General features: G+C 37.5%; 1 protein-coding gene across 20 annotated transcripts in view, besides 1 other annotated feature; it reads left to right on the top strand.

The window, feature by feature from the left end:
• AFF3 (ALF transcription elongation factor 3) overlaps positions 1-15,052 on the top strand; it is a 597,172-nt gene that overhangs the window by 399,299 nt on the left and 182,821 nt on the right. The window lies entirely within an intron of this gene.
• Positions 7,699-7,899: a silencer, noted in NCBI's record as "peak3801 fragment used in MPRA reporter construct". NCBI's record gives its function as "represses an SCP1 promoter by STARR-seq MPRAs in K562 erythroleukemia cells {active_cell/tissue: K562}" and the evidence as "EXISTENCE:reporter gene assay evidence [ECO:0000049][PMID:32103011]".

The following is a 15,052-nucleotide window of genomic DNA, read 5'->3' as shown; positions in this document are numbered from 1 at the left end:
CCGGAGAGAAAAGATGTCCTGGCAAATGCACTGGGAAGCAGCAGAATTTTCATGCGCAGCTAGAGAAAGGCCGGTGGAGGGGGTGATGGCACAGTGGTGCGGAGGCAATATCACTTAATTATCCCACCCTCTGTTGGGATTTGCTGTGGGTACAGGCACCAGCGATGAGGCAAAATGACAAAAGACATGAAATCTGAAGAAAATGATGAATTTAGTCCTAAGAAAAGAGATCAGAAGAAACACTTGGTTAAGTCCACGTCGTGGTATACAGACGTCAGCATCGCACACCACAGACTAGAGTGTCTTGAAGAGTTACCCTTGCTTTCCTCCCTGTGTCTCACCATTGAATTTAAATGTTCAGGGTAAAGGGGGAATCCCACAGATGAATAAATGCACCTTCTGCCAGCTTGGCATTTTTGACAGACAGAAGAGCAAAGGAAATTCTTGTTGAGTGTCTATTCTGCGCTAGCGTCCTGACTTACAGTATTTCACTTAATCTTTACAATAGCTGCATGAGCTGCATGATCTCAGTGTTCACATGAAGAAGATGAGTTTCTGAGGCTAATAACGAGTCATTTTTTAATCACCTGGCTAAAAAAATGACAGCTAGAATTTGAATTCAGGGCTCTCTGCCCCAAAGACACGAGCTTTTCATCCCACTCTGTTGATTCCCAGAAAGCTGCTGCTATCACTTCACCGTGAGATTGAATTATTGTCCAAGGACTGTCTGCTGTGATTTCTGTGTGCACCCGGCATATTTTTATGGCATGCTATAATATTCACTGCAATTTAGATTCTATAAAAACGGATGCTTCTTCTACAAGACATGATGTGGCACTATCCCTGTGTGGTATAAAACCCTCTGGCATTTCATTGTCCAAGAAAGGTTTTTGATTGGCTTTTTCTTTTCTAGGAGTAAGGGGATTTTTTTTTTAATTTCATTTTCTTGAGACAAGGTCTTGCTCTGTTGCCCAGGCTAGAGTACAGTGACACAATTATAGCTCACTATAACCTTGAATTCCTGGGCTCAAGCAATCCTCCCACATTAGCTTCCCAAGTAGCCAGGACTACAGGCACATACCACTTTTTAAAATTTTTCTTATAGACAGCATTTCACTATGTTGCACAGGCTGGTCTTGAACTCCTGGCCTCAAGCGGTCCTCTTGCCTTGGCCTCCAAAAGTGCTGAGATTATAGGTGTGAGCCACCACACCTGGCCTTTTTTCATTTTTAAATAAATCTTTCTCCAAAACCCCAGCACATGTATACAAAAATAATATTCCTATTAAGTCTGAGAATTCTCTGCAATTTACAGCACATTTGAAACTTTAGGAGAACTGACCCCACCAGCATTTCCCTTGCTGTTTTTGTATATGGTTAGGAATCATGATTCCAGTAAACATGTAAGAAATGGAGAAATACTCTGTTTTGGTACCAGTACCATGCTGTTTTGGTTACTGTAGCCTTGTAGTATAGTTTGAAGTCAGGTAGTGTGATGCCTACAGCTTTGTTCTTTTGGCTTAGGATTGACTTGGCGATGCGGGCTCTTTTTTGGTTCCATATGAACTTTAAAGTAGTTTTTTCCAATTCTGTGAAGAAAGTCATTGGTAGCTTGATGGGGATGGCATTGAATCTGTAAATTACCTTGGGCAGTATGGCCATTTTCATGATATTGATTCTTCCTACCCATGAGCATGGAATGTTCTTCCGTTTGTTTGTATCTTCTTTTATTTCATTGAGCAGTGGCTTGTAGTTCTCCTTGAAGAGGTCCTTCACGTCCCTTGTAAGTTGGATTCCTAGGTATTTTATTCTCTTTCAAGCAATTGTGAATGGGAGTTCACTCATGATTTGGCTCTCTGTTTGTCTGTTGTTGGTGTATAAGAATGCTTGTGATTTTTGTACGTTGATTTTGTATCCTGAGACTTTGCTGAAGTTGCCTCTCAGCTTAAGGAGATTTTGGGCTGAGACAATGGGGTTTTCTAGATATACAATCATGTCATCTGCAAACAGAGACAATTTGACTTCCTCTTTTCCTAATTGAATACCCTTTGTTTCCTTCTCCTGCCTAATTGCCCTGGCCAGAACTTCCAACACTATGTTGAATAGGAGTGATGAGAGAGGGCATCCCTGTCTTGTGCCAGTTTTCAAAGGGAATGCTTCCAGAAATAACGCCGCATGTCTACAACTATCTGATCTTTGACAAACCTGAGAAAAACAAGCAATGGGGAAAGGATTCCCTATTTAATAAATGGTGCTGGGAAAACTGGCTAACCATATGTAGAAAGCTGAAACTGGATGCCTTCCTTACACCTTATACAAAAATTAATTCAAGATGGATTAAAGACTTAAACGTTAGACCTAAAACCATAAAAACCCTAGAAGAAAACCTAGGCATTACTATTCAGGACATAGGCATTGGCAAGGACTTCATGTCAAAATGGCAACAAAAGCCAAAATTGACAAATGGCATCTAATTAAACTAAAGAGCTTCTGCACAGCAAAAGAAACTACCATCAGAGTGAACAGGCAACCTACAAAATGGGAGAAAATTTTCACAACCTACTCATCTGACAAAGGGCTAATATCCAGAACCTACAATGAACTCAAACAAATTTACAAGAAAAAAAACAAACAACCCCATCAAAAAGTGAGCAAAGGACATGAACAGACACTTCTCAAAAGAAGACATTTATGCAGCCAAAAAACACATGAAAAAATGCTCACCATCACTGGCCATCAGAGAAATGCAAATCAAAACCACAATGAGATACCATCTCACACCAGTTAGAATGGCAATCATTAAAAAGTCAGGAAACAACAGGTGCTGGAGAGGATGTGGAGAAATAGGAACACTTTTACACTGTTGGTGGGACTGTAAACTAGTTCAACCATTGTGGAAGTCGGTGTGGCGATTCCTCAGGGATCTAGAACTAGAAATACCATTTGACGCAGCCATCCCATTACTGGGTATATACCCAAAGGACTATAAATCATGCTGCTATAAAGACACATGCACACGTATGTTTATTGCGGCACTATTCACAATAGCAAAGACTTGGAACCAACCCAAATGTCCAACAATGACAGACTGGATTAAGAAAATGTGGCACATATACACCATGGAATACTATGCAGCCATAAAAAATGATGAGTTCACGTCCTTTGTAGGGACATAGATGAAATTGGAACTCATCATTCTCAGTAAACTATCGCAAGAACAAAAAACCAAACACCGCATATTCTCACTCATAGATGGGAATTGAACAATGAGAACACATGGACACAGGAAGGGGAACATTACACTCTGGGGACTGTTGTGGGGTGGGGGGAGGGGGGAGGGATAGCTTTAGGAGATATACCTAATGTTAAATGATGAGTTAATGGGTGCAGCACACCAGCATGGCACATGTATACATATGTAACTAACCTGCACATTGTGCACATGTACCCTAAAACTTAAAGTATAATAATAATAAAATAAAAATTAAAAAAAAGAAATAGAGAAATACTGAGCTTCAGAGAAACCAAAAACAAAATATCTGTGTGGATTGATTACTAACTCATTATTTTAGGCCAGTGCTTCTATTCTCTTTGAAGTGAGAAAGACTGTATTATAGATACTAAAGGAAAGATTGTATAAACAGAAAATGACTTTCAATACAAATCTTTTAAAAGGTAGATCGTTTGCTGAATTACTGATCAATTGAACTTGATATTATAAAATGGAAGCTTATTAAGCATTGAGATACTTGAATATTAACATGGATGATTTATGTCTACATTTTTAAAAATTATGAGAACGTCCTGTTCAGTTGAGTGACTGCATTTAAGCAATCCTTCCCCTTCCTTCAGAATCCCCACCTAATAGCCATGAAGCTGTAGAAATGGAAATAAATCCAAAATAGCACCATCAGAATAAGTGCCATCAGCAAACCAGAAATTTAGTTGTGTTCTGGAAAGCCGAAAGTAATAAAACCCTACTGAAAAATACCCCTGAACAGGGAAGGTCGTGACACAGCAAAGGAAGAATCAGACAGGAACAAGTTTTAGTGGTGGTGGGAACAGCCCCCAGGAGCCCCAGGAAAGACCACATTTCCACTGGACCCCAAGAGAGAACAAGTGCGAATTGCTTGCAGTGATGGGAACACCTGGCCATCCTTCAACCATTACCCCTCCACCCCCATCCTCACGGATTCCCACACAGAGCTTTCAGGATGATTTTTTCTCAAAAACCCCCAAAAACAAAAAGTACCATAATATTTGCTAAAAAAAAAAAAAATTGAACAGTTCACTCCTCACTGAGAACTAATACCAAAGAGAGAAACAGAATACATTCTAAGATAGTACCAGACCTTAAAAATAGATGACATGGAGTAATGGCAGAAGAGTCAACTATTTCTCAAGGGAAATAAACAAAAATTCTATACACCTAAAGTACAGTGCTTTATATTTTTCTTAGAGGAGTGGGTGGAGGAAGGGCTTGGGCTTACAGCTTGCCTGGAGGCTTCTCTTCTCTTGAGCCCTAAATGAATCCTTCACATCAGCATACCCTGCCCACTTACAAAGAGCCATAAATCAGCTCTTCCCTACAAAGGATAGGTGTGTTAGAAAAATTGATCGGAATACTGATACAGGAAAGCCACGCCAACTACCTTTGTTAACCAATTTTTTATTTAAAAATATGAATATATAACCAGTGACGCCAAAAAGAAAGACTAGTCCCAAAGGAAATCTAGGAAATCTAATTCAAGGTAAAGAAGAAAAAAGTTTCAAGTATAATTGCAGTCCTTAGAAAGATTTGAAATTATTTGTGTTAAATAAAAAGAGAACAGATTGGTATGAAAAAGAGGTAATTACAGAACAAATGAACACTTGAGAATTAAAAATATGATTGACAAACAATAGAAGGGATGATAATAGCTGAAGTCTGAAACGTTGAATATAAAGTTGAAAACTTTTTTTTTCTGAGTATAAAGCAAAACACAGATGGAAAATATGAAAGGGATTGAAGATACACAGCCAGTCAAGGTGGCAGAAAAAGAAAATGGAGAGGAATGAATAATAACAGAAATAGAGCACTAAGGGAAATGAGCAACTTACAATCAGAAAAGAACCCCTTACAAAAAAGGAAACGAGACCACGAGCAAGAGCAAGAACAAACAGGACAGCGGAGAATCAGACTCCTAATTCAGAAACTGGGGTTATCAAGCCTAGAATGTGAAATTAGAGCCCTTGCTTTAATTTCTGGAAATAAAAGAGAGGATTGGAAATGTGGTAAAGAGCAAGAAAACTTGGAGGAGTGTTAAACAGAATTCTAGGAATAAAATAATATAATAGGAATTAGAATTTCCATGGGCAGATGTAACAGCACATTAGACATAGCTGAGAAAGAATTAATGAATTGGAAAGTTGAATTTAAGAAATTATCTAGAATGCAGCCTAGAGAGACAGAAATGGAAAACAGGAAATTAGTTAAGAGACATGGAGATAAAGTGGGGAAGTCTAACATGCATCTAACTAGAATTTCAGAAAGGGAAAGGGAAGCGAGACAGTACTGAAGATGATTGATGGCTGAGAATTTTCCAGACTTGAAAGACATTAATCCACAGAGTCAAGAAACCCAGTGAATACCAAGGATAAATGAAAAAAAAAAAAGTCCACACTACACACATTATAGCTAAAGTGCACATAAAAATTAAAATACCCTTTAATATCTTCAACAACTCAACCAACTTACACCTGACTTCACAACAGCATCAGTGGGAGCCTGCAAACAGAGAAGCTGAAGCATCACTGAGTTGGGAAAAAATAACTATCAGCTTAGGATTGTGTATCTTGCAAAAAAAAAATTTAATGAGTCAAGACATTTTCAGACAAAAGCTGGGAAAGTATGCCACCAGTAAATCCTCACAAAAGAAATTTTAAAAGACATACTTTGTTCAGAAGGAATGTGAGGTGCGAGAAAGATTAAATGCAGTGAAAGTAAATATGGGGAAAATTTAAACAATGTTGATTGCATGCACCAGTAATAATATATTGTTAAGTAATCAAAATAAATACAATTGGAATCCACAAAACAATAGCATAAAATAAGATGAGAATGTGGAATTAAAATCTTCTAAGTTCCTGTAATTATTTTGGAGAAGGATAAAAATTTTAACTTTGGGCTTTGATAAATTAAGTAAATATTTGCAATTTGTAGGGTACCCACTAAACTATACTAAAAGGTATTTAACCTACAAACTAAATGTGGAGAACATCTTACAAACCAAGCTAAAAATAGAATATGAATATTATTAGTTAATCCAAAAGAATTGAAGAAGAGAAAATGAAACAGAGTATATGGAAAAATATGGTAGCATAAATTAAATCAGTAATTTAAAGGCCGGGCGTGGTGGCTCACGCCTGTAATCCCAGCAGTTTGGGAGACCGAGGTGGGCAGATCACTTGAGGCCAGGAGTTCGAGACAAGCCTGGCCAACATGGTGAAACCCCATCTCTACTAAAAATACAAAAATTAGCCGGGCGTGGTGGCGTATGCCTGTAGTCCTAGCTACTCAGGAGGCTGAGGCAGGAGAATCGCTTGAACCTGGGAGGTGGAGGTTGCAGTGAGCCAAGATTGTGCCACTGCACTCCAGCCTGGGCAACAGAGTGAGACTCCGTCTCAAAAAAAAAAAAAAAAAAATCAGTAATTTAAACAAATGGATTAGATGCAATGATTCAATAACAAATATTGACCAAATTGATTTAAAAAATAAAACTCTAGCTCTGTGCTATTTACAATGACACATTTAGAAATTAAAGATTCAGAAAATTTGAAAGGAAAAAGGTTAGGAAAATATATGCCAGCCAAATACTGGTGATAAAAAAGCATGATATGTTTATTCTGATACCAGAAAAATAAACTTTAAGCAAAAAGCATTACTACAGTTAAAAAGGGTCACTACCCAAGGAAAGATACAACTTACCATATGGACAAAATAATTTGATATATGTAAATTCCAAATAGCAAAGCTTCAAATTTTTAAAAGTAAAAGTCACAAATTACAAGGGGAAATGTATTATCTTAATGGAAGATGTAAACAGAAATTCGTAACTGTTGTATAATGCAAACAGAAAAATTAGTAAGGATACATAAGATTTAAACAACACAATGAGCAAGAGTACATTACCCAACAGCTGCAGAATATGCATTATTTTCAAGCAGACAGGGAACAGTTATGAAAATTGACAACTACTGGACCATAAAGCAAGTTTCAACAGATTTTAAAAGATAAATATTATATTTACCATGGTCTCCAACCACAGTATGATTAAATTAGAAATTGATAATGAAAATATGACTAGGAGGGAAAACACATGTTTAGAAATTAAGAATCACTCTAGATATTAGTAAATATTTGGGACTGAAAGGTAATAGAAATACCTAATATTAAAACTGGAGGAAGAAACTAAATTAGAGGGAAAGTTGCAGCTTTGCATCTGAAATACTCATACTAGAAGCTGGGTGCAGTGGCTCACGCCTGTAATCCCAGTGCTTTAGGAGGCTGAGGTGGGCGGATCCATTGAGGTCAGGAATTCGAGACCAGTCTGGCCAACGTGGTGAAACCCCATCTCTACTAAAAATACAAAATTTAGCTGGGTGTGGTGGCAGGCGCCTGTAGTCCCAGCTACTCGGGAGACTGAGGCAGGAGAATCGCTTGAGCCTGGGAGGCGGAGGTTGCTGTGAGCCGAGATCTCACCTCTGCACTCCAGCCTGGATGACAGAGTGAGACTCCGTCTCTAAATAAATAAGGAAATGACTCATACTAGCAAACAAAAAATTAATGAACTAAGCATCTATCTTAAGAGCTGAAAGAAGAGAAAATAAACCCAAAACAAATGGAAAAGAGATTTACAAAAAAAAAACAAAAGCAGAAATTAATAAAATAGCAGAGATAAAATTTTAAATGTCAATGGAGCCAAAAGTTTATTCAATGAAGTTATAATACAGTTGACAAACTTTGCAGAGAGATTGATCAGGACAAAAAGAGAAAAGGCACAAATAAATAATATTAGGAATCAAAAAGGGAATAAACTGTGATGCAGATCAAGAACAAAAATATGTTATGTGCAAAATTATACCAAAATTTTTTCAAAACTAGACGAAATGACTATGATTAAAATGATTTTTCAGGTATTACATGTATATATGTATATGTTTTATATGAAATTTACATATAAATATAACCTGAATAATCCTATAGCCGTTTTAACAATTGGCCCAGTAATTTTTTAAAAATCATTCCACCACACAATTTCAAGGCTAGACATTTTTACTAAGAATTCTACCAAACTCACAGGAAGAGGTAATTCCAAACCTACACCCTTCTTCAGAGAATTAGAAAAAGCCAGCAGTTCTCAACTCATTATATCAAGGCAGTATAACCTTGATATCAAAACTTGACAAGCCAGTACAAGAAAAAGAATTCACAGGTATCATTCATGATCATAAATGTAAAAATTCTAGGTCAAATATTTGTAAATTCCATCCAGCCAAGTACAAAATATATTTTAAAATATAACTCATAATTAAGAAACTGTACTTATTTTAGGAATTCAAAATTGGATCCTTTTTATAATATTAACATGATTAATTATATTAAAATATTAAAAGAAAAATAGGATTGTTTCAATAAATTAAGAAAAAGCATTTGATAAAATTCACTATACATGATTTAAAGGAAAAATAGCAAATCAGGAATAGAAGCCCACTTCATTAACACAATAACAGTATCTGCCAAAAAAACTCAAAACAAGAATCCTATTTAGTGTTGAAACATTTGCAGCGTTCCCCTCAAGATGAGGAACAAGACATGAGTTCCACTTTTATGCAACATTATACTGGATGGACATCCTTGGTCGAGGCAATAAATTAAGAAAAAAAAGTACCTGTTAGAAAGGAGAAGAACATTCATTTTCTCAAATTATATTGTTTATGCAGAAAACTCAAAAGAATCTACAGATTATTAGGATTAATAAGAAAATTTAGCAAGATTGCTGTATACACAATTAATTTCATTTCCCTACACTAACAACTGAAAATTATAGTTTAAAACTTTTAATATTAGTATAAAAATATAAGTTACTAAGCAATAACCCTGTCAAGAGATGTGTTAAGACCTCTATGGAGAAAATTAACAAACTATTGAAATACGTTAAGAAATATCAAAATAAATGGAGACGCCTAATACCAAGTACATGAATTGGAAGATGCAGTGTTGTAAAGATACAAGTTCTCTTCAGATATCTATAGATTTAATACAGCTCCAATCAAATTTCCAACTTTTGGGTATGTGGAAATTGACAAACTGATGATACTCAAATTTATACAATAGATCAAAGGGCTAAGAATAGCCAAGATGTTCCTAAATAGCAAGGTTGGAGCTTTGCCTTACGAATATTTTTAAATATATATTAAAGCTAAGTAATGAGGGCAGTAATAGACAAATTGAGCAATGAAAGTGAGTGAGTAGAGACCCAGAAGCAGATCCACAGGCGTATGAAAACTGGACTCATGGCAGAGATGATGATATAGATTAATAGAGAAAGAATGGACTTCAAGTACCATAATAACTGGTTATTTCTAGGGAGAAAAACGAAACTTAACTCCTACCCCACGCCATATACAAAAACCAATCCAGGTATTTTTTAAAAATCAGTAAAAGTATATACTTTTAGAAGACAGTATAAAACATTTTTCTGATGTTTTTCTTAAATCACAAAAAGTGTCAAATAAAGAAAATTATCTATAAATTTGAGTACATTAAAATTAAGAACTTAACATTATCCAAAGATAATAGAAAAAATAAAAAGGCTAACACTGGGAAAAGTTTTGTTGTTGTTGTTGTTGTTGTTTTGGTTTTTTTTTTTTTTGGACGGAGTCTCGCTCTGTCGCCCAGGCTGGAGTGCAGTGGCGCGATCTTGGCTCACTGCAACCTCCACCTCCCAGGTTCAAGCAATTCTCCTGCCTCAGCCTTTCTAGTAGCTGGGACTACAAGGCGCCCGCCACCACACCCGGCTAATTTTTTATATTTTTAGTAGAAACAGGGTTTCACTGTGTTAGCCAGGATGGTCTCAATCTCCTGACCTCATGATCCGCCTGCCTCGGCCTCCCAAAGTGCTAGGATTACAGGCATGAACTACCGCGCCCGGCCAAGTTTTATATATGTATTGAAAAGTTATACACGCACACACACACGACTATATGTATGACTCTTATTGAGACAATAAAATGTTTCTATGAATAAGAAATTAATACTAAAAAATAATTTTTAAGAAATGACACAGAAGAGCAAGTACAAAATATTTACCTCATTAGTGCTCAGAGAAATGCAGACACCACAACAAAATTATATTCTACATTATTAAATTAGAAAAAACTTTAAAACCTTGATCATAACAAGTGTTGGTATGGATGTGAATCAGTTTGAAGTCTCATATACTGTCTGGGGAGTGTTAATTTGGAAATCAGTTTTGGATTCCCTGCTAAAGTTGGCCATATGGAAGTCTTAAGGCCCAGAACTCCTAACATGTGCATGAGGAAGGGTGTTCATGAATGTTTGCAGTTCTATTGTTCATGATGGCAAAAATCTAAATGTCCATCAGGAGAAGAACAAATAAGAAACTGGTATATTTATACAATAAAGTATTGCACAGCAGTGAGGATGAACAAACTGTAGCTACATGCAGGATGATGGCTAAATCTAAAATTCATAACACTGCATGATAGAAGTGAGTCTCAGAAGAATGCCTAGGTATGATTAGAGTCGTATGAAGTTTAGAAACAACAACTACCAAAACAGAGTTAATTTATTAATACATACATAGGCGGTTAAAAAGAAAAAAAAAACTCTCCAGAAAACAAAGAGAATGATTAACACACAATTCTTTTTTTTTTTTTTTTTGAGACAGAGTCTCGCTCTGTTGCCCAGGCTGGAGTGCAGTGGCACAATCTCGGCTCACTGCAAGCTCCAGGTTCATGCCATTCTCCTGCCTCAGCCTCCCGAGTAGCTAGGACTACAGGCGCCCACCACCACGCCTGGCTAATTTTTTTGTATTTTTAGTAGAGACGGGGTTTCACCATGTTAGCCAGGATGGTCTCAATCTCCTGACCTCGTGATCTGCCTGCCTCAGCCTCCCAAAGTGCTGGGATTACAGGCGTGAGCCACTGTGCCCAGCCACAATTCTTTTACCAATAGCTGGTGGGAAGGGTGGGAAGAGATGGGAGCCAGTGAAGGCACTTTCGATGATGTTCCATCCCTGGCCTGGAAGGTGTTTTCACAGTTCATTCATTTTAATGCTTTGAAAGTGTCTATATACATTTCATGTAAATATACATTTTATGTTCACTAAATGCGTGCTCTATTTAACAGTATTTTAGGGAGAACATAACCTTAGCTTGAGACAAACCTGTGACGTGGTAGAACATAACAATGAGAATTCATTTGACATAAATGTCGGGAACATTTGCACTCATTCTACCTTAGTGACATTGCCTCCTGTTCAGGTCTACTCAAGCTGCTTTCTTCTTTAGTGACTAATATTTATATTGTCACAATATTGCAAATTCTCATTATTGGTTTATGATTTTTTACTTGACCTATAGGCAAGACCAAAAATTAAATTATTAACTAAATTAGTATTAAGGAGGATGACTCAATAATTACTGAACAGAGTATGAATATTTTAAATCTTGGTGATATAAAAGGAAAGACATAGCTGTGAGCGGGGAGGTGGGAGGGAAGGATAGATGGGTGAGTTTCCTCATTTTACATGGTATGAAAGAAAAGATACTGTCAGAAGGTGATTAATCAAGAGAAATAAGATTAAATATATTTAAAGTTACAAATGCCCACTAGAGGCACTAAAAATAATAACAGAACTAATAAAAATTATAAGGGAGGGGAGACTATTAAATACCTTGCCTCTTGTCTTTCATATCAGAAATCATTAGGCACTGTCTAAAGTTGGTACATCTAGAAATAAAAACGCATTGGCTGGGCACGGTAGCTTACACCTGTAATCCCAGCACTTTGGGAAGCCAAGGAGGGCAGATTACTTGAGGCCAGGATTTCGAGAGCAGCCTGGCCAACATGGTGAAACCCCATCTCTACTAAAAATATAAAAATTAGCCAGGTGTTTTGGCATGCAGCTGTAATCCCAGCTGCTCAGGAGGCTGAGGCAGGAGAATCACTTGAGATTACCCGGGAGGCAGAGATTGCAGTAAGCCAAGATTGCACCACTGCACTCCAGTCTGGGCAACAGACTGGGACTCCATCTCAAGCAAAGAAAAACACATCACTTAGACTAATCATTGAAGGGCTAACAGAATTTAAAATAAAAGTAAGCAAAGTCATTACCTTTTCTTTTCTGTTCATTTTTTTAAAACCATAAACATGGATTGCTTTTGATATAACTGTGTAGAAATGTGGCAGTATATGGCCGAGCACGGTGGCTCACACCTGTAATCTCAGCACTTTGGGAGGCTAAGTCAGGCAGATCACAAGGTCAGGAGTTGGAGACCAGCCTGGCCAATATGGTGAAACCTCGTCTCTACTAAAAATAAAAACATTAGCCGGGCATGGTGGCAGGCACCTGTAGTCCCAGCTACTCGGGAGGCTGAGGCAGGAGAATCGCTTTGAACCCAGGAGGCAGAGGTTGCAGTGAAGAGAGTGCACCACTGCACTCCAGCCTGGGCAACAGAGTGAGACCCCATCTCAAAAAAAAAAAAAAAAAGTTGCAGTATAGCAAAACTTCCCTGTGCAGAATTCAGTTTAATGCAGGATTATTTTGATTTTCTTTTCAAAAAACATATTTAGTCCCTATATGACACTATTGATGGAAAGTAAGATACTCCAGCAGTGCAGTCCATTTAAATGTTTAAAGAGCATGAATTCCACATTATTTATCTTTATGCTCACAAGAGCACCCAACATAGAAGTCCTCTGTACATTGCGTTAAAAAGGTAACTGTTATAATTTTTTAAGTGACCTATTGGAGTCAGCAAGCTGTTTCATATCTCAAACTGTATATTTCGTCTCACTGGCGAGGGTACCTTAAGCATCTTTTCCCACTGCAGCATGGAATTCTGTATTAGTGACAGGGCATCAGAACAGAAGACACATACTGAGCACCTAGTGTATGTTAGGCAATGTGGAAGGCCCAGCCAGACAAATATGGACTGTCAAATTGAAAGTGTATAATACACATAGATACATAGATTTTACATATATTTACATATATGCATATATATTTGCATATATAGTTCTTTCCGTGGCTCATTTTTTCCCCTCTTCCTCTCTGTAATTGTATTTCCGCATGTAAAATGGCTTCCCTGCACCCAGCTTATTAATGACCAATGCAGATTCCCTCCCAAAGAGACCAGTGTGAAACATTGGTCCATCATGAAATATCCATCATGAAAACAGCTGACACAAACAGGAGGACCCTGGAGACAGCTGTCTTTGGATGGTGGGGCGGGCAGGGGGCGGGGTGGGAAACATCTCCTGCACACCCAACTAAAAAAAAAAAAATTTGTACTAATGTTCTAGAATGTTCCATTACATTCATCATTTTCCCTTGGGTCCTAATAAAGAGACCATAATTCTCAGTGGTGTATACACTTAAACATTTCAAGTTAACTTCAGAAATTTCATCACCTAAAATTTCAAGATGTGGGGGAAGCTTTGTGTTTTATTCTTTCTGAAGGACAAAAATAGTTTTAATCCCATCTCGTTCCTGACCAGCTTACTTTTCCCCCCAGAAAGGCAAATTCATTATCAGCACTGAATTTGCTGAGAACACTCCCTCTCAGACTGTTCACCATGTCCTGTTTGGCCCCACTATATCCTTCCTATTTGCCAGAACCTATTCTGTTTGCCCTGTTGCCACAACATAAGTGCTGCTAAGAGCAAAGATAATCAGCTGCGCATCTGTCCCCATGCTGAAGACTTGGGCAGCATGATTGGTCAAGGCAAAACATATTTCTTCAAACATCCAAACAATGCCTTCGTTTTTATTTTCAATTTCCTGTTTTCTGACATAAATTGTTTGGGAATTTTACCATTGCCTGCTGCTTCCAAGCCTGCTGTTTTACATTCTTCATTAAGATGGAATGTGGTAACTACTGCAGGCTAGAGACTGGGGAAAGTAACCAGTTTCACCAAATTAAAGCAGGTTGGGGGAAAGGATCCATATATTTGAGAAAAAAAATATACTTCCATTTAGTTTTGTCTTATATAATGCAGGTGTTATAACTCTCTATTTTAGGATTACAAGAGGGATTGTGGTTAGTCCATGGAAAAAATGTTTCTGCAAAGTACTAAATTATTTTCCAGCACTGAAACCAGTTGAACAGGCCTTATTTGCCTCCTAAATGAGTGCACCACAGACCTTGCCTGGAAGACAAAAGAAAATATACAAGAATGAGCTTTAAAGCAAATTTATTAATTTGCTACTTTAGCCTTTATTCCAACATGGTTTTATATGTATTGAGGCCCTGCCTAATCAATGTTTGTTATCAAGGCAGTTAAAATAGATTTTGTGGCTTTTTTGTTTTTCCCCCTCATCTGACCAGCTTTTAGCCAAAGTCCCTCATAGCTGTTCTGGCACTGGATAAATGTCTGAGATAGATGTACGAACTGTAGAAACTGTGTCTTCTTTTTCTCACAACTGTTTATTCCTATAAGAAAAAGAGAAGGACATATAAAGTTTGCTTTTGAGTTCAGTTTGGGCAATACCTTTGGGATATGTTCATTATGTAATTTAGGGAGTCATTCCTGGGACTAGGTGACGACAAGCTAATGTTGACAGCTGACAAAAGGGGTATGGTACAATGTGTGGGCCCAAGGACGTGAGCAGTAGACCAAGGGATTCTAGAGATCTCCAGGCCTGACTTGAAAGAGCATAGCAAACCAAGTTACTACCACAGTCCTATTTCTTGCAACTCACAGCCTTCTCTGGGGTGTATTGGCTCTGCACAACCATCAGGAAACACACGAGCCCACGCTCTCA

The sequence above is a fragment of the Homo sapiens genome, chromosome 2 (genome assembly GCF_000001405.40).
Source record: "Homo sapiens chromosome 2, GRCh38.p14 Primary Assembly".
NCBI classification, from domain to species: Eukaryota; Metazoa; Chordata; class Mammalia; order Primates; family Hominidae; genus Homo; species Homo sapiens.
This window is presented reverse-complemented; position numbering and strand designations above follow the sequence as displayed.